Source organism: Homo sapiens, chromosome 5 (genome assembly GCF_000001405.40).
Source record: "Homo sapiens chromosome 5, GRCh38.p14 Primary Assembly".
NCBI lineage: Eukaryota > Metazoa > Chordata > Mammalia > Primates > Hominidae > Homo > Homo sapiens.
This window is the reverse complement of record NC_000005.10, coordinates 131,145,788-131,165,365: the sequence shown is the minus strand read 5'-3', so window position 1 is coordinate 131,165,365 and position 19,578 is coordinate 131,145,788. Positions and strand designations below refer to the sequence as shown.

Sequence of the window (19,578 nt, the reverse complement as noted above, 5' to 3'; positions counted from 1 at the left end):
TCGCAGCCCAGGTCGCCAGTGCGCACGCGCAAGATTAGGTGGGGCGCCAGAGCCGGGGCACCTGCGCAGGCTTGGCTGCGCCCTCTCGCGCCGCACGCTCTGCGGGTTCCTCCCTTCTTCCGAGCCTCTCCTCTGGCCGCCGCGCGGGAGAGAGGCCGAGATGGCAGATGAGATTGCCAAGGCTCAGGTCGCTCGGCCTGGTGGCGACACGATCTTTGGGAAGATCATCCGCAAGGAAATACCAGCCAAAATCATTTTTGAGGATGACCGGGTAGGTACTGGGCACCACCTCTCTCGCCTGCTGAGGTGGGTATCGTCCGCGGATCCTCGGGTTTCTCGCGGAGGGAGAGGAGGGGTCGCGAGTGTAGCGGCGACGGGAGGGGACCTGGCTGCCCTGGTCCAGCGGGCCCCCAGCCAGCGGACAGGGCCCGGGCACTCCGAGGCGGCCTGCCGGCGCGTGCCGGCGCTCCGGTTACTCGTTATCTGCCCCGGGCGCGGGCCAGGCCGCCGGGCGCCCTGAGTGCCGCACCGCGGGGCCTGGGCGCGTGTCGGGGCGCACTGGGGCCCCCGCGTGGAAGCCCGCCGGTTCCCCGGCTGCCTCGGACCTTGCCTGTATCAGGAATCTCGAAATCTCGCCAGCGCTCTGCCTGACAGAGAGAAACCCGATCGCGCCCTGACTCAGGCCCAATCTCCGCGATCTCCCGCGCACAGCCGGCCTGCCAGGGCCCGGCGTTCCTGGGCGCTGCTCAGCAAGGCATTGTGCTCGAGGGCCCCAGGGGCGCTGGGAGGTGCGCGGGCCGTCTGGGCCTGCCGGCTTCCTCCGCGGGGTGCGGCTTGCCACCCTCACCCCTACCCCTATCCCTATCTCCACCCCAAGGCCTACCCTGGGCTAGCGAGGCGATCTCCTGAGATAAGAAGTGGGCCCGCGTCTGGGATTTGCTTTCCGTTGACCTCTCCCGCTGAACATTTTGGACTTACAAACAGCTGAATGATTCTTTTTGTATTCAACAGGAAGTAATTTTATGCCAAGAGACTAAGACTGTAGTTTTTGTTGACTTCTTGTAGGTGAAATCCCAGTTGATGTGACTTTGAGATATCTTGTGTAAATTATTTAGTGGCCAGTTGTATTTTTGGGATTGGATCTCAGATAAAGCTGGGCAGATTGGCTGATTTAGATAGAACAAATTTTGTAAACAGTTTTGTTAAATTTAGGAAATATAAAATCTAAGAAAAACATTTATTCTACTAATGTCGGTTAGATTCAAAACGTTATCAAAAATTTAATTAGGTTCCTCTAGGTAAATTAAAAAAAAAAATACTTTGTCTCTACTCAGGGGAAATTCTTTGGTTTTAGAAAAAATATTTCTTTTTAAAGTTCGCAGTTGCCTTTGAGAAATGGTTCTTGAAAAATTTACATTTGAACCACCGAAGTCCAACTGTAGAACGGCAGGAAGCATTCTAAATGAATCAGCATTTTGTAGGGAGTACCCAGTAGAATTACTCCTGAGACAAATAAGTGTGGATGGGTTTTATTAAAACAGCTTTCACTTCAGCAGTGAGCAAGAGATTCGAAAATATTCATGTCATATGTGTATTTACAGACACTGTTTTAAATAATTAGTCTAAATGCTAAAGAATATCATATATATACTCTTCAGCTTTACACAAAAGGATAGGTATATTTCTTAAATAGTTGAGTAAAGTGAGAATAGATATTAATCAAGTATCAGACAAATATGTAGTTACAAAACTGATTGCTATCATAAAGAAAAAAAAAAAACCAGGAAATTGCACAACTAGGACTCTGACCTGGGAGTAATGGGACGGGGAGGGCAATCAGAGGTTTTTTTCTGTTTTTTCTTTTTTCTCCCAGAAATCATGTATGTGCTGGGAATGGAATGGCGGAATGACTAGCAGTTTAAATTAGACGGAAGTTGGGGTTTGGAGGGGGAGAGGATCATTGAAAAAGCTCTGAGGGCAGAGAGCTCAGAAGGCCAGTTCCATGTGAAGACCTGCAGGAGATCTGGAGAGGCAGGCAAGGATTAGCATGGCCAATTTTTATGCATTCATTGGCTCCCAGTTTAAATGTCACTGCCTCAGAGTTGTTCTTAAACACTTAATCTAAATCAGGCTTTTCCTGTAATGATCATTCATATTTTTCCTTTGTAACATGTATGACCTTTGGTGATTATACTTTTAAAGTTGGTCTTCCCATAAGACTTCCATGGAGTCCGGGTGCAGTAGCTCACGCCTGTAATCCCAGCACTCTGGGAGGCCGAGGCAGGTGGATCACCTGAGGTCAGGAGTTCGAGACCAGCCTGGACAACATGGTGAAACCCCGTCTCTACAAAAACACAAAAATTAGCTGGGCATGATGGCACGTGCCTGTAATCCCAGCTACTTGGGAGGCCGAGGCAAGAGAATCACTTGAACCCAGGAGGCGGAGGTTGCAGTGAGCTGAGATCATGCCATTGCACTACAGCCTGGGTGACAGAGTGAGATTCCATCTCAAAAAAAAAAAGACTTCCATGGAAAGGACCACGGCACCATTCGTAATGTGTACACTTCTGTTTTCTTAGCATCTAGTGCCCTCCATGTAGTTACTGCTCAGTAAATACTTGTTGAAATAAGTTTTATCCTACCAATATACTAAAAGTTTGATTTATTTATTTATTTCTCTTTTCCCTAGTGCCTTGCTTTCCATGACATTTCCCCTCAAGCACCAACACATTTTCTGGTGATACCCAAGAAACATATATCCCAGATTTCTGTGGCAGAAGATGATGATGAAAGTGTAAGTACATTTCTAACATGATTTATTTTCTTGCTTTTTAAATTGTGAGATTAATTTTGTCCTTAAAGTGCTGTCACATTTTCATCTTCCTAAGGTCATTACTAAGGAAAAACCAGAAAAACCATTAGGACTTCAACTGCCCAGCTGTTTTCCAAAGTTACTGCATCATTTTGTATCCCACCAGCAATGAATGAGCGTTCCAGCTTCTCCGTATCCTTATCAACACTTGCTATTACCTTTTTTTTTTTTTTTTGAGACAGAGTCTTGCTCTGTCGCCCAGGCTGCAGTGCAGTGGCACTCGGCTCACTGCAAGCTCCACCTCCCTGGTTCACACCATTCTCCTGCCTCAGCCTCCCGAGTAGTGGGACAACAGGCGCCCGCCACCAAGGCTGGCTAATTTTTTGTATTTTTAGTAGAGACGGCTTTCACCATGTTAGTCAGGATAGTTTCGATTTCCTGACCTCGTGATCCGCCCGCCTCGGCCTCCCAAAGTGCTGGGATTACACGCGTGAGCCACCGTTCCTGGCCTATTATATTCTTAAAGTAAGCTAGAGAAAAGGTTATTAAGAAAATCATAAGGAAGAGAAAATATATTTACTATTTATTAAGTCGAGTGAATCATAAAGGTCTTCATCCCTGTCATCTTCATGTTGAGTAGGCTGAGGAAGACGAGGGGTTGGTCTAGCTGTAGCTGTCTCAGGGGTGGCAGAGGCAGAAGAAAATTTGCATATGAGTAGACCTGCACGGGTCAAACCCATGTTGTGCAAGGGTCAGTTGTATTTACTTGGGGATACCTTTTTAAAGTGAGACATTATTTCTGAAACTTAGAAACTTCAAGGCATTAATTTTTAATTCAATATATTTGTACAAATCACAGAGTTCAAAGATTAGAGCGAGTACTTAATGGTAAAATACCGTCTTATATGCAATAACATTAAACCCTCAGAATACATTTTTTTCTTTTTTTTTTTTTTTTGAGACGGAGTTTCGTTCTTGTTGCCCAGGCTGGAGTGCAATGGCACGATCTCGGCTCACCGCAACCTCTGCCTCCTGGGTACAAGCGATTCCCCTGCCCTCCTGAGTAGCTGGGATTACAGGCATGCCATCACGCCTGGCTTATTTGTATTTTTAGTAGAGATGGGGTTTCTCCATGTTGGTCAGGTTAGTCTCGAACTCCCAACCTCACGTGATCCACCCGCCTCAGCCTTCCAAAGTGCTGGGATTACAGGTGTCAGCCACCACGCCCAGCCCCAGAATACAAATTTTTAACATTTAGTATAATTAGACAGTCATGGCATTTTAAGGTCAGAGCTTCTTACTCAAATGCAGCTCTTTTCTGTAAGGACAATAAAATGTTAATTTTTACTCAGTTAACATTCTAAATTAGTGTTTTAAGGTCATCTCTTTTACTTAGAAGACAGTTGTTGGCCAGGAAACGTTTACTGAACCAGCTTTAAAACCGTGCTAATTCATAATTAAATGTTGTGACCAATATAGGTATCTGCTGTACAAAATTTTATATAGATGCTCATCAACTTAAGATGGGCTTACATGCTGATAAACCCATCATAAGTTGAAAATATTGTATGTCTGTTGAAAATGCGTGTAAGACACCTAACTTACTGAACATTATAGCCTAGCCTAGTCTAACTTAAGCTTGCTCGGAACACTTAACGTTAACCTACAGTTGGGCAAAATCATCTAATACAGAGCCTATTCTGTAACAGAGTGTTGAATATCTCATGTAAGAGTATTTTACTGCATATCACCAGTCTGGAAAAGGATCAGAATTCGAAGTATGGTTTCTCCTGAATGCATATCGCCACACCATTGTAAAGTTGAAAAATCATAATTTCCCCAACTTACAATTTTTGTCCATTGTCCATCTGTACAATGGACCTTACTGCATGAGTAAGGTAAGCAGAGTCCACTGTCCTGGGGCTTAATAAGGTAATGGGAATAGAAATGTAAGACTCTCTCCCTTCCCTCTTTTCTTGCCAAAGGAATTAAAGGAGTTCCCTTTCCTGAGAGCTTTTTAGAATGTTGAAGTTAACCCTCCCAACTTTTTTCTCTCATAATGGGAAAGCATAAGCAGTGAAATGGGAGTTAAAGTTCTTTTCTCTTGGCAACCTTCTCCCCTTTAACTTTTATTAGGGAAGAAAGCTGGCAACATACAAATAGACTCCATGTGTAAATAGAGACAAATTGACTGTAGATAGAACCAAAAAACAAACAGGATGACACAGAGCGAGACTAGGTATTTGCCACAGGATCCTGCAAGTCCCGACAATGCAATAGATCTGGTAGTGTTCAAAGGAAAATCCATAATGGTCATAAGGAAGTCATAAAGAAAGCAAGATGTCTTGCTTTATTAAGAAAACTTAAAACAGCACTTGGAATATAATTAAGTTTTTTTTTTGGTTGGGCATAGTGCCTTGTGCCTGTAATCCCAGCACTTTGGAAGTTAAGGTGGGCAGATTGCCCAAGCGCAGGAGTTCGAGACCAGCCTGGACAACATTGGAGAAGCCCCATCTCAACAAAAAAATACAAAAATTAGCCGGGTGTGGTGGCATGTGCTTGTAGTCCCAGCTCCTTGGGTGGGTGAGGCAGGAGGATCACTTCAACCTGGGAGGTCGAGGCTGCAGTGAGCTGAGATCGTGCCACTGCACTCCAGTCTGAGTGACAGAGCAAGACCCCATCTCTTAAAAAAAAAAGTTTAATTGAACAGCAGATTTTATTTCTAATTTGTTTCTTGAAATTAGTAATGATAAATACCTAATCTTAATGAGTCTCCAGTTGTAGATTATGCTCTGTTGGGATTAAGAGTTTCCAAATATTTGCTCAAAGGGTTGTGTTTCAATGAGAGTTTTAAGATTTGATATTTCAGCTTGACAGTTTGTTATTTAATGGCAAGAAGTAATAAATTGCCTGTGCCTAAGAAACTTTTTTTCCTTTTCCAGCTTCTTGGACACTTAATGATTGTTGGCAAGAAATGTGCTGCTGATCTGGGCCTGAATAAGGGTTATCGAATGGTGGTGAATGAAGGTTCAGATGGTGGACAGTCTGTCTATCACGTTCATCTCCATGTTCTTGGAGGTCGGCAAATGCATTGGCCTCCTGGTTAAGCACGTTTTGGGGATAATTTTCTCTTCTTTAGGCAATGATTAAGTTAGGCAATTTCCAGTATGTTAAGTAACACACTTATTTTTGCCTGTGTATGGAGAGATTCAAGAAATAATTTTAAAACCGCATACATAATAAAAGACATTGTTGCATGGCTTATAGTCTCTCTGAGTGTTGCGTTTGATTTGTTATTTTAAAAACATATTTGTTGGAATATGTGAAGGTGGGTTTATAATTTTGGATGTTTCTTGCTTTTTCTTCCCAAGGAGGACTCAACATATGAACATCGCATTGTTTTAATGGTGTTACTAGTCTTTGAAGACAAATAATGAGAGTTTATAAATTTAGCTTTAACTTCGAAATATCTTTCCAGGCTAAAATAGGTCCAACTTAGATTTTTAAGCTAATTCTCACATTTTCTAAGAACATAGGAAATTGACCATTTTGGGTTTAGAAACAGTGCTTTATGTTCAGCCCACATTGCCCCTGGACTCTGGGCGTAATTTGGAAGGGATGAAAGTAGGTTTGTCACACAATCTTTGATGACCATGTAAAGCCATACATTGGTATTTCCTTGCTGTTTAAACCCCATCTGAATATTATAAAGACTTGAAAACATTTTACCTAGAATTCATTTTTCCAATTGAAACCCCACTGTTCTAAATGTGTATGCACACATTAATAAACGTATTTAAGTTGTGCACGAATCTGGCTACGTCATATAGAGTAGGAAAGGGAACTTGTCAGGGTCTGGGTTTTCATGTAGACCGACAACCAACCTTTTGTTTTTAGTCTCACCATGTACCCTGGCCTTTCTAAGGTTCTGTTTTTTTAAATTTTTTTTTTTTTTGAGACAGTGTCTCGCTGTTTTGCCCAGGCTGCAGTGCAGTGGTGCGATCTCAGCTCAATGCAATCTCCACCTCCCAGGTTCAAGTGATTCTGCCTCACCCAGCCTCCCGAGTAGCTGGGATTACTGGCGTGTGCCACCATGCCCGGCTAATTTTTGTATTTTTGGTAGAGATGGGGTTTCACTATGTTGGCTAGGCTGGTCTCGAACTCCTGAGCTCAGGTGATCCGCCTGCCTTGGCCTCCCAAAGTGCTGAGATTAACAGGTGTGAGCCACCACTCCCGGCCTCTAAGGTTCTATTTAATACAAGGTTAATAGCTTTGCTTCTTTGCTTTCCTTTGTGTAGGCACTTTCCAGCTTCCAAAATTTAATAATTTTTTTTTGTTTCTTCTCTCATTCTCTTCATACTTACAGGTTTTTTCCTTTTTTTTTTTTTTGTGAGATAGTCATCCTGTCATCCAAGCTGGAATACAGTGGCACGATCTTGGCTCACTGCAATTTCTGCCTCCCAGGTTCAAGCAATTCTGCCTTGGCCTCCCAAGTAGCTGGGACTACAGGCGCACACCACCATGCCTAGCTAATTTTTGTATTTTTAGTAGAGATGGGGTTTCACCATGTTGGCCAGGCTGGTCTCGAACTCCTGACCTCAGGTGATCACCCACCTTGGCCTCCCAAAGTTCTGGGATTACAGGTGTGATTACAGGTGTGAGCCACTGTGCCCATCCTTCCATTTTTAATCTCTAAAAAGATTGCTGTAGGGTTTTGACACATTTAATTGAGTTGTTTTTCTTAAAATTTTATTTCCTGTTAGTGATTTTTTAAAATAGTTTTTTTTTTTTTTTTTGGAGGTGGGGAGAGGAGGGAAATTGGCTTTTTATGTGCAACACATAATTTTTTCCCAATTTGTCATTTGTCTCCTTACTTTGTTTATGGTGTTTAAAATGTTTATATGGTTAATACATCCATCTTAAATTTATTTCATAAGCCTTTCCCACCCTAAGAGGATTTTAAAATATTATTCTTTTTTTCCTAGTACTTTTTTTTTGAGGCTGAGTCTCGCTCTTGTTGCCCAGGCTGGAGTGCAATGGTGCAGTCTCAACTCACTGTGACCTCTGCCTCCCAGGTTCAAGCAGTTCTCCTGCCTCAGCCTCCTGAGTAGCTGGGATTACAGGCATGTGCCACCATTTTGTATTTTTAGTAGAGACGGGGTTTCTCCTTGTTCGTCAGGCTGGTTTCGAACTCCTGACCTCAGGTGATCCACCCGCCTCGGCCTCCCAAAATGTTGGGATTACAGGCGTGAGCCACTGCGCCCGGCCTTTCCTAGTACTTTTATGACTTTTTATTTTATGTTGAGGGAAGGTGTAGGGAGGAGTTTTGGAGGGATTTGTGCCACAGTAAAGAATGAAATAATGAGATGCATTTGTATTATGTATAAGAGGGTTGGCTGGGCTTTTATCATGCATATTGTCTTTCCCACTGATTTAGTTAAGCTGGTGTTAATAAATCAGATAGACAACCACCAAGTTGTCTTGCTGGTTCTGTCTGTGACCTCTCTGCCCAAAACTGTCTTGTGGCATATATTCACCAAACCTCATGTGGTAGCCAGTCTCCAGGATAGCCCACAAGGATCTTCACTTCTGGTATTTGCACCCTTGTGTTTCTCATCGAATCTGAACTGGTCCGTAATAAACAGTATGGTACAAATGATAGTGTGATTTCTGAGGCTGCATCACAAAAGGCATTATGACTTACACTGTAGTCTCTTGGATTGCTCACTGCTATTGACTGAATATTTATGTTTCCCAAAATTCGTATGTTGAAATTCTAACCTCCAATGTGATGGTATTAGGAGGTGGGGTCTTTGTTAGGAGATTAAATGATGAGGCCAGAGCTTTTATAAGTGGGATGAGTGCCCTTATGAAAGAGACTTTGGAGAGCTCCTGCCCCTTTCACCATGTGGGAACCCAATGAGAATAAAGTCCTTACAAACCAGGAAGTGGGCTCACCAGATACTGAATCTGCCAGTGCCTTGATCTTAGACTTCCCATCCTCTAGAACTGTGAGAAATAAATTGCTGTTGTTTATGAGCCACCCAAGTCTATAGTATTCTTTTTTTTTCCCCCGAAACAGGGTTTTTCTTACTCTGTCACCCAGGCTGGAGTGCAGTGCCATGATCATGGCTCCCTGCAGCCTCGACCTCCCTGGGCTCAGGTGATCCTCCCACCTGAGTACCTGGAACTACAGGTTCATACCATCACACTGGGTAATTTTTGTGTTTTTTGTAGAGATGGGTTTTCACCATGTTGCCCAGGCTGCTATGGTATTCTTTCCTAGCAGCCAGAACAGACTAAGTTACTTGGGAAAGCCAGCTGCTATGGCCAGGGACCCTCAAGCAGCCCACTGGAAAGGCGTTATGTTGAGAGGAACTCAGGCCTGCCAACAGCCAGCAATATGTCAGCTATGCAAATAAACCATCTTGGAAGCAGACCCTCCCCAGCCCCAGTTGAGCCTTCAAGATGACTGCAGTCCTGATTAGCATCTGACTGCAACCTCATGAGAAAGACCCCACAGTACAAACACCTGTCGAATCTCCCAAATTCCTGATCCACAGAAATGGAGTGATAATAAAGTCACCAAGTTTTGGGGTAATTTGTAACAGCAATGCTAACCAAAATACCCTGTTGTCTTAATTTTTTTTTCTTTTTTAGCATACAGCTAGACTGCATTTCCCTGCATCCTTTCAGCTGTGTGGGGCCATATACCTATTGTCTGGTTAATGAAATGTGTGAGGAACTGATGTATGTCATTTCCAAGACCCTGAAATATCTCCCATGCACTCTTCTTTGCTTTTTCTTTTCTTTAGTTGACAAGATGCAGAAAGGATTCAACAGAGGAGATTGAGATGTTTGATGGAATGAGCTTGAGTCTCCAAATGACTGCATCGGGGAGTATTTGCCACACTCCTGACCCACATTGAATTTTATTTGTTAAGCCACTGAGATTTCAGGGTTTGGGTAATAATACTTAGGAGTATTTATTGTAATTAATACAAGACCTATGATTCAGGAGTGATGAAACTTCTTTATATGAGGTGGCTTGGGATTTTAACAATCATAGCAGCCTATTTGATTGTTCTGCTCTTAGAAATAGCTCAGAGGTTGAGATTGCCTGGGTAAAGAGGGGTTAGAACTTGGAGATAACAATTGGGCTTTTAAGTAGAGTGTAAGCCAGTTCCTGTGGGGACCATAGCACCACTTTTTTTTTTTTTTTGAGCCAGAGTCTCTGCTGCCCAGGCTGGAGTGCAGTGATGTGATTTTGGCTCACTGCAACCTCTGCCTCCCAGGTTCAGGTGATTCTTGTGGCTCAGCTTCCCAAGTAGCTGAGGTTACAGGCATGCACCACCACTCCCAGCTAATTTTTTTTTTTTTTTTTTTTCATTTTTAGTAGAGACAGGGTTTCACCATGTTGGCCAGGCTAGTCTCAAACTCCTGACCTCAGGTGATCTGCTCACCTCGGCCTCCCAAAGTGCTGGGATTACAGGTGTGGGCCATGCACCCAGCCAATACCACATCTTGATTGAACTGATCTGAGGAGGCTATGTGAGAATTGACTCTTATCTTTAATATTAAATGTTATATTTTAGAACTGAAGTGATAAGTTCAGGTCATTTGAGGAACTTAGTTTATCATTGAAATAATTTCCTTGAGTAAGCCACTGAGAAAATCAGAGTGATCTTTAATCTTTATTTTAATATATGTGTATTCTTGCCAGGTGTGGGCTCACGCCTGTAACCTCAACAGTTTGGGAGACCAAGGTGGGAAGATCACTTGAGCCCAGGAGTTCAAGACCAGCCTGGGCAACATGACTAAACCTCGTCTCTACAAAAAATAGAAAAAAAAATTAGCTGGTATGGTGGCGTGCACCTGTAGTTCCAGCTGCTTGGGAGGCTGAGGTGCTGGGAGACTGAGGTGGGAGGACTGCTTTATCCTGGGAGGCAGAGGTTGCACTGAGCCAAGATCATGCCACTGCACTCCAACCTGCGTGGTAGAGCGAGACCCTGTCTACCAAAAAAAAAAAAAAAGCGTATTTTTCATTTATGTAGGTTAGAATTAGCCTACATAATAACAAAAACAAAAAAAGCAGATTTAGATGGGATAATAAGGCTTATTTTTTTCTTTCTAGTTATAGAACCCCCTAAGGTGGCAATCCAGGGCTCTTTTTTTTTTTTTTTTTTTTTTTTGAGACGGAGTCTCGCTCTGTCGCCCAGGCTGGAGTGCAGTGGTGCGATCTCGGCTCACTGCAAGCTCCGCCTCCCGGGTTCACGCCATTCTCCTGCCTCAGCCTCCCGAGTAGCTGGGACTACAGGCGCCCGCCACCACGCCCGGCTAATTTTTTGTATTTTTAGTAGAGACGGGGTTTCACCGTGTTAGCCAGGATGGTCTCGATCTCCTGACCTCGTGATCCGCCCGCCTCGGCCTCCCAAAGTGCTGGGACTACAGGCGTGAGCCACCGCGCCCGGCCCAGGGCTCTTTTGTCACCTTCGTGTATCAGCAAGAATTCAGGCTCCTATCTTTCTTCTCTACCATCCTTTATATCCTCAAGGTCACTTCATGATGCATGGATTGATGCAGCTCCAGCTCTCAGATTCCCCCATCAAAAAGAAAGAGAGGGAAGCAAAATGGCAAAAAGTCATGTCAGCATTATGGCCCTTTTAAAAAGAGCTTTTACGGAGGTCCTTCAAGACCTTCTGCTTAGGTATTATTGGTCATCCCAAGATATAAGACGGGTTGGGTATCTTGCTGCCCAGAATTAAACTAGAAAGGAATAAATCTAGAGTTGATACTGACAGGTAGGTCACAGTATATCCCCCATCACTGATAGCCAGTGTTCGTGACTGGAAAAGCAGCCAGGCATTCTTAGACCTTGCCAAGGTGCTGAAAGGACTGATTAGGTAGTTGCAATTTGGCTATATTTACTCGTTTCTCCAACACTGAGTCAAGACCAGGAGGCATTTTGTTGACCATCCCCTATTTCTGTGAATAGTGGGTGCAACTGTAATTCCAAGCAAAGCTCCTTCTTTGCTGCACTCATTTCTGGTGCTTTATCATACTGATTACATTTTTTTTCTATTTACATTATGGCTTGCAAAATAATAAGTAAATTTTCAAAAGCCTTCCTCACTCTTTTTCATTTTTTTTTGAGACACGGTCTCACTCTGTTACCCGGGCTGGAGTGCAATGGCACAATGACCTTTCACTGCAGCCTTGACCTCCCGGGCTCAAGTAATCCTCCTACCTCAGCCTCCTGAGTAGCTTCACCTGGCTGTTTTTCTATTTTTTATGGAGATGGGATTTTGCTTTGTTGCTCAGGCTGGTCTCCAACTACCGGACTCAAGTGATCCTCCCCCCTCAGCCTTCCAAAGTGCTGGGATTACAGGCGTGAACCACCATGCCTGGTCAAAAGCTCTTTAGTTAAAGAGAACAAAAGTTGGTTAAGTCCTTCTCTTTCAAATATGTATTGCAAATATGTCAACAACTTATTCAAAGTCTGCATATCAGCCTTTTCATTCAACCGTAAAGCAAACTGAGAGCACTGGCTGATGATAGTAGCTGCTCCTTGAATTGCTTCCTATGATATACAGGATCATTTAATAAAGAGATTTCTGCCTATATCAGCTTATTAAGTTTTCTCCCTATGTTTATTATAATTATGTTCTATCAGCTTCTCAGAAAGAGTGTGACTTGTACATGCATTTGCTTATTTAGAGTAAAATTTGATGTTTCTATAGCTGGTTTTGCCCCTTTATTTCATACCAAAGGTTATTTTGCACTTGTCTTAAAAAATATGCAGTTGGTTTAACATGGATTTATTGTGCTTTGAAAATGACTTGAAAGCTTGAGTGGTTTCATGTTACTTTTTTAAGTCAGGACTTTTGAAGCATTAGTTATTAATACAATAAAATCTACCCATAAAAAGTGTACAGCTTGATGAATTTGACCACAATCAAGATAGAAGATGTTTTAATCATTCCAAAAAGACTTGTTAGGAGACCATTTTATAACCCACATTATAGATGATGGCTTGGTCCAGTAGGTAGCGTTAGAGCTGATGAGTAGTGATCCTATTCAGCGTGTATTTTGAAAATAGAGCCAGCACAATTTGCCAATAGACAAAATATGGGAGCGAGAGAGAGAAGTCACTATTTATTATTCCTCAAGATTCTATAGACCAACTAGGTGGTTTCTGTGCTGTTTTGCCTGATCTTATTCATGCCGCTGTGTTCTGTTGAGGGTTAGAAAGTCCAAGATGACCCCACTCAGATGTATCATGGTTGGTACTTGTAGTCAGCTGGGGTCTCTGGAGTCCTCTCTCTAGGGCCCCTCAGTCTCTTGTTTCCTTACATTGAGGTCACACAGTAATAAACAATCCCAAACTTAGTTTAAATTAATTACCATTTATTATTCCTTATGATTTTGTGGGTCATTTGGGCAGTTCTACTTATTTCACCTGGGCTCACTCATGCAGCTACATTCAGCTAGGGGGTTGCAGGGGGACGGATTTAGCTGGGACAGTTGGCATGGTTTAGTTACACACCACAGGCTCTTTGGCTCCCCATGTAATGGAAATTAACAGGGGAACAAGCAGATTTCCCAGACAAGCCTTTTTTTTCTGGGCTTGTGCTTGAAAACAAGGGAAAGGCTGGGCGCGGTGGCTCACGCCTGTAATTCCAGCACTTTGGGAGGCCGAGGTGGGTGGATCACCTGAGGTCGGGAGTTCAAGACCAGCCTGACCAAAATGGAGAAACCCCCTGCTAAAAATACATAATTAGCCTGGCGTGGTGGCGCATGCCTGTAATCCCAGCTTCCCAGCTACTCAGGAGGCTGAGGCAGGAGAATTGCTTGAACCCAGAAGGCGGAGGTTGCGGTGAGCTGAGATTGCACCATTGCACTCCAGCCTGGGCAACAAGAGCGAAACTCCATCTCAAAAAAAAAAAAAAAAAAAAAAAAAAAGAGAGAGAAAACAAGGGAAACAACAGAGGCGCAAGGATCCTCCAGCTGACTCTGAAAAAAGCCTGTAGGGAATTTTTTTTTTATCAGGCAAAGTGTGGGAATTGACATCAGGGGTAGGGTATGAAGGCTGGGCTGGGCAGAACATGTAGGGGCAGGGTATACAGGTTCCCATATCTAGTTGCAGTGCTTATATTGAGTAATGGGCCACCTGGTGGTCTGGCCAGCGGCAACGAGGCTGTACATCAATTATTGTTCAGCATTCCTTTCCCAGGTGAGACACTCTGCAACCTTTGTTCGATTTTAGATCTAAACCAGTTTCTGGAATTCTTTAAGTAAAAGGCATGGTTAAACATTAGGAGTGCACAAAAGAACAATATAGACTGGCTATTTTCTGTATACGACTATTAGCGGAAATAGTGTCAGTGAAGTAGTGGTGTGGATTTTGTGATCAGTGGGAATCATGAAAGGATGCTCTTGGGGTGAGCTAAAGCCAAACCCTGTCCCTATTCTGTCTCAGTTTCCATGTTGTCTTTCACCTTAAGCTTCTACACAGATTACTATTCTCAGAGCAGCAATCCAAGAGGTCAAAGAAATACTGGAATATCTCTTGAGGCCTAGGCTTCAGAACTTGCATAATATCACTTCCACCACATTCTGTTGGTCACAGCAAGTTAAAAGGCCAGCCTAGGTTGAAAGGTTTTGAGAAATAGACCTCATGTTTGCACGTGAGAAGGAGAAACGTCACATTGCAAAGGGGCATGCATACTAGGATGGGAGGAAGATAGAGCCATTAAAGAGTCTACCCTACCACCATTATGCTGTTGACTCAGCTACTTTCTCTCCTGCCATTAAGACTAATTGTTTCCGTGTCTTTGTGTGACTTGAGTTCATACTTTCTAAGAGAGGACAGGGGCTCCTGAGGCATAAACCTCAGGGGCCAGAACACCTCATAAGCTATAGATAGCCTGCAAATGACTGATCAGTGTTCACTGCGGTGAGGCAATCTGGTATGGTGGCCAGTGTGTACAGACCTCTTAAAGGCTTATATAAAGGGACCAGGCGCGGTGGCTTATGCCTGTAATCCCAGCACTTTGGGAGGGCCGAGGCGGGCGGATCACCTGAGGTCAGGAGTTTAAGACCAGCCTGGCCAACACTGTGAAACCCTGTCTCTACAAAAACAAAATAAAACAAAAAAAATTAGCCAGGCATGACGCTGGGTGCCTGTAATCCCAGCTACTTTGGAGGCTGACGCAGGAGAATCGCTTGAACCCAGGAGGCAGAGGTTGCAGTGAGCCAAGATTGTGCCATTGCACTTCAGCCTGGGCGACAGAGGGAGGCTCCGTCTCAAAAAAAAAGAAAAAAGAAAAGAAAAAAAGAAAAAAAAACTTACAGAAAGGGACAGGGCGTGTGGCAAGTCCTCTGAAGCTTTCCTGAAAGGGTCCAATAGGCATCTTGCTTGACCAGTACAGTACAACTGAAAATTGGTATAGTGGTTACAAATATCAGCCTGCCATTCAAATGTGTAATAAATATATCTCTTTTTGTTTTTCTGTAACAACTTTTCTGTTTTGAGTCTCTGATCCATTATGGTGAAAGGTACTTACTTTTAGTCAATTTGGAGTTTTTCCCCTCCCATCCCTGGGGTGGTACTTAATTTCTGGAGGGTGTTATGTAGTGCCATGGGATCCGGAGGGGCCATCTAGTCCTCTTTGTCATTGGTCCCTACAGTTTACCTGAGACTTTTGTTACCTTATTTAATCCTTTTTCATTGATCCCTGTAGGTTGACGTTTTGTAATAGTGATGACCATGATTATGATAGTATTATGATAGTAATTATGAAAGTATTATGATAACATTAATAAGAGTTGCTATTTGTTTAATGCTCACTATGAGACAGGCACTGTGTTATATGTATTAAAAATAGTATTGCTGGCCGGGCACAGTGGCTTACGCCTGTAATCCCAGCACTTTGGGAGGCCGACGTGGGCAGATCACGAGGTCATGAGATCGAGACCATGCTGGCCAACATGGTGAAACCCTGTCTCTACTAAAAATATAAAAACTAGCTGAGTGTGGAGATGCGTGCCTATAATCCCAGCTACTTGGGAGGCTGAGGCAGGAGAATCTCTTGAACCCGGGAGGCAGAGGTTGCAGCGAGCCGAGATGGCACCACTGGACTCCAGCCTGGTGACAGAACTAGAGCTCATCTCAAAAAAAAAAAAAAAGTATTGCTAAAAACAACTCTGTGTACATGTTATATCCTGCGGCATTTGCACAGAGCATATGTGTAATGGACATTTGTAATTATCAACATCCAGCTTTTGAACTCCCTTCCTATTTGAGGGATTCATTGCCTCCGAAAGGAGAAGCTGAAATGAACAGACACCTAGTATTCTAGCTCCTCTGCCAGCTAGGATGTAGGCCCTTGACCTAGGCTCTGCCAATCAGATGCACTCATCTGGGATTTTGAATTTGAAACTAATGACACAAAGAAACAAGGACAATGGAGATTTCTTTCTGGTGTCAGTGGCAGCAGCATCAAGTTGGCAAGCACAACAGTGTCTGTGTTGCCAACCCTTGGATCCAATGTTGAATACCAGGGATGACAACAGTGCAAACTGCAGTTCCTGTGTTCAGTGGCAGTGGTAGCAGCATACCAGTAGACTGGCTCTCTGGTTCTATGTTTTGGTTTTTGTTTGTTTGTTTGTTTTGAGACAGAGTTTCGCTCTTGTTGCCCACACTGGAGTGCAATGGTGCGATATTGGCTCACTGCAACCTCCGCCTCCCAGGTTCAAGTGATTCTCTTGCCTCAACCTCCTGAGTAGCTGGGATTACAGGCATGTGCCACCATGCCCAGCTAATTTTGTATTTTTAGTAGAGATGGGGTTTCTCCATGTTGGTCAGGCTGGTCTCGAACTCCTGATCTCAGGTGATCCACCTGCCTCGGCCTCCCAAAATGCTGGGATTACAGGTGTGAGCCACCATGCCTGGCCTCTGGTTCTATTTTTGTTTGTGAAGTTATCTGCATAGCTTCTCTTTATTCCTGCCTATTTTCCCAGTTTATCTGTGAGCCATTCATTAGTTTCAAGAAATTAGCCGATGGAGAAATTCTTAGCAGAAGCGATTGCAGGCAATAGGGAAAGGGTAGGTGGAGAGCTTGGGGTTGGTTAATTGGCCTGGTTTGGGATGGAGGCAAGGAGAACCCAGCTAACATTAAGGAATTGGATTTTCACAGCCCTTGGCAAATAGTAACAAAATATGTTTTTTTTTTTTTTTTTTTTTTTTTTTTGCGACAAGGTCTCCCTCTGTCACCCAGGCTGGAGTGCAGTGGGGATTATAGCTCACTGCAGCCTTGAACTCCCAGGCTCAAGTGACCCTTCCAACTCAGCCTCCCAAGTAGTTGGGATGATAGGCCCATGCCATCACACTTGGCTCAAAATAGCTAATTAAATCATTTATTTGATCACCTGCAGTGACATGCCAATTGAAGGCAAGGCTTTGGGTTTCCAAATCCTATTGCCATAGGATCACATAAAGGGTAGGCATGGAATTTGAGGGTTGTGCAGGTGTTGTGACTGCTTCTAATATTGCTGAACATCTTAAAAAGTAATAACAAGGCTGGGTGCCGTGTCTCACACCTGTAATCCCAGCACTTTGGGAGGCCGAGGTGGGTGGATCACTTGAGGTCAGGAGTTCGAGACAGCCTGGCCAATATAGCGAAACCCAGTTTCTACTAAAAATACAAAAATTAGCTGGGTTTGATAGTGGGTGCCTGTAGTCCCAGCTACTCGGGAGGCTGAGGCACGAGAATCACTTGAACCTGGGCGGCAGAGGTTGCAGTCAGCTGAGTTGGGGCCATTGTACTACAGCCTGGGGGAGAAAAAAAAAAGGCAAGATTTCTAAATTATTAGCTCAAGTTATCAGAGAAACCCAGGGAACTTCTGTGGCTCTGCTACAAAGATCTGTAAGAGATTTAGCAAGACATAGGCTCTTGCAGCTGAAGAACTGAAGCAACTGTAGGCCAGACACAGTGTTTGATCCTCAGGGTTGCCAAATTTTATTGGTTTAATTCATGGACTTATATATAGTCTCTTATGAGGAAGCCAGGATGTTGATCAAGAAAGAGCAGTATCTAAATATTTAGAATGAGCTAAGTTGGAGAATTTGGCTGACTCAGACTACCTCAAATTCCCAACCTACTGAGCCTCCCTTTTCAGCTGAAGTGTCCTTTTCTCTTGTGTGGAAGCTATTTTTGGTTGCTTGAAGATCCTTTCTTAATTACTTGTCTTATATACTACAGCTATGCCTGTGCCTCTCTCTTTAAATGGAAAGGGAACTCTCTCATACCTTATTAACTTCCTTCCATGCACCTCTTGCATTTATTTCTCTCCCTCTTTCTTTATAATTGTATATTAGAAGATCCGAAGAGATCCTAAATGGTACTTTGGGACCATCCTTAGAACTTTAAAAAGAAAAATTGCCAGGCAAAACTAGCACCTTCTCTTATTATTATTATTATTATTACTATTATTATTATTATTTTTGAGACAGAGGCTCACTCTGTCGCCCAGGCTGGAGTGCAGTGGCATGACCTTGGCTCATTGCAGCCTCCACCTCTCAGGTTCAAGTGATTCTTGTGCCTCAGCCTCCTGAGTAGCTGGGATTACAGGTGTGTGCCACCATGCCTGGCTAATTTTTGTATTTTTAGTAGAGACAGGGTTTCACCATGTTGGCCAGGCTGGTCTTGAACTCCTGACCTCAAGTGATCTGCTTGCCTCAGCCTCCCAAAGTGCTTGGACTACAGGCATGAGCCTTCTATTATGGATAGGGATGAAGAAAGACTGGAAATATCCAGGAGTTAATAATCTAAAAGTAAATAAAGAAGATAGAAAAGCAGACCCTAAAATCAAACACGAAGAGAACCAAATGAAGTAAACAGTGGATAAATATTAAAAACATAAACACACAGAAAATATAATCCAAGTTTCTTCTGAACACAGCACACTGACCCTGTATCCTTACTAGGACAAATTCTAAGGACAAGGAACAAATGCAAAGAAATTTTGAATTTTATCTCATAAACTTGTTGTTGTTGTAATGGTGAAATTATTTTTTGTCTGTATAGTATGAGTAAAGATATTGGTTTGAATGGGAATCAAGGTTTTCATTATGGAAGAAGGGAGATAAACACGTGGGATGGAAAAGTTGATAAAGAACCCCTGTAAAGTTCAGAAGTATGTCTATGCTGATGACTTTTTTTGAAAAAAGAAAATCTAGCTCTCTTTACTGTCAAGGCCTAGTCACAATAAATGCTACATAACACTCAGCTCTTGGTTTTTAAATACCGTTCTCTACTAGAAGGCATCAGGTTTCTGTGAAAGAAATGGCTGATTGCAGGTGTGGGGCAGGGAAAGTTCAAGGTGAGTATGGAGTGTCTTGCTGTGGTTGTAGCCTGGGAAGTGGAAGTGCTCAAAGACTGAGAGGTTATGTCAAAAAGACATAGGAGTTAGGTTGAAGGGGTTCCCTTTGGCCAAATTCGGGACAACATGAGCATAATAATGATTAATAATGGCCTGGGCACAGTGGCTTTTAATCCCAGCACTTTGGGAAGCTGAAGTGGGTGGATTGCTTGACCTCAGGAGTTTGACACCAGCCTGGGTAACATGGTAAAACCCTGTCTGTACTAAAAATACAAAAATTAGCCAGGCGTGCTGGCATACGCCTGTAATCCCAGCTACTTGGGGAGCTGAGGCCGGAGGATGGCTTGAGCCCAAGAGGCGGAGGTTGTAGTGAGCCGAAATCG

General features: G+C 43.5%; 1 protein-coding gene across 8 annotated transcripts, besides 6 other annotated features; it reads left to right on the top strand.

Moving 5' to 3' along the window:
- Positions 1–80: a silencer, noted in NCBI's record as "silent region_16301". NCBI's record gives its function as "represses an Ori minimal core promoter by ATAC-STARR-seq in GM12878 lymphoblastoid cells {active_cell/tissue: GM12878}" and the evidence as "EXISTENCE:reporter gene assay evidence [ECO:0000049][PMID:35858748]".
- Positions 1–1,381: a biological region, named in NCBI's record as "H3K27ac hESC enhancers GRCh37_chr5:130499678-130500338 and GRCh37_chr5:130500339-130500998".
- Positions 61–720: an enhancer, noted in NCBI's record as "H3K27ac hESC enhancer chr5:130500339-130500998 (GRCh37/hg19 assembly coordinates)". NCBI's record gives its function as "activates a minimal SCP1, AML or CMV promoter by ChIP-STARR-seq in primed H9 embryonic stem cells {active_cell/tissue: H9 hESC(primed)}" and the evidence as "EXISTENCE:reporter gene assay evidence [ECO:0000049][PMID:30033119]".
- Positions 110–6,339, top strand: HINT1 (histidine triad nucleotide binding protein 1). 8 transcript variants are annotated; one of them, NR_134494.2, is made up of 5 exons: positions 110–271; positions 2,690–2,794; positions 2,889–3,004; positions 4,482–4,710; positions 5,755–6,339. NR_134494.2 is itself a non-coding variant. In NM_005340.7 (3 exons), exons 1-3 carry the CDS (start codon positions 161–163, stop codon positions 5,917–5,919), a joined length of 381 nt encoding a protein of 126 aa, NP_005331.1. In that variant the 5' UTR covers positions 110–160; the 3' UTR covers positions 5,920–6,339. The 8 variants fall into 8 exon arrangements, 3 of the variants coding, with proteins under 3 accessions (NP_005331.1, NP_001424878.1, NP_001424879.1); NR_073488.2 differs by having other exon boundaries at positions 110–306; NR_024610.3 differs by lacking the exon at positions 2,889–3,004 and having other exon boundaries at positions 4,522–4,710.
- Positions 291–930: a silencer, noted in NCBI's record as "silent region_16300". NCBI's record gives its function as "represses an Ori minimal core promoter by ATAC-STARR-seq in GM12878 lymphoblastoid cells {active_cell/tissue: GM12878}" and the evidence as "EXISTENCE:reporter gene assay evidence [ECO:0000049][PMID:35858748]".
- Positions 721–1,381: an enhancer, noted in NCBI's record as "H3K27ac hESC enhancer chr5:130499678-130500338 (GRCh37/hg19 assembly coordinates)". NCBI's record gives its function as "activates a minimal SCP1, AML or CMV promoter by ChIP-STARR-seq in primed H9 embryonic stem cells {active_cell/tissue: H9 hESC(primed)}" and the evidence as "EXISTENCE:reporter gene assay evidence [ECO:0000049][PMID:30033119]".
- Positions 9,076–9,370: a silencer, noted in NCBI's record as "tiled region #1831; K562 Repressive non-DNase unmatched - State 18:Pol2". NCBI's record gives its function as "represses a minimal TATA promoter and a strong SV40 promoter by Sharpr-MPRA in K562 cells {active_cell/tissue: K562}" and the evidence as "EXISTENCE:reporter gene assay evidence [ECO:0000049][PMID:27701403]".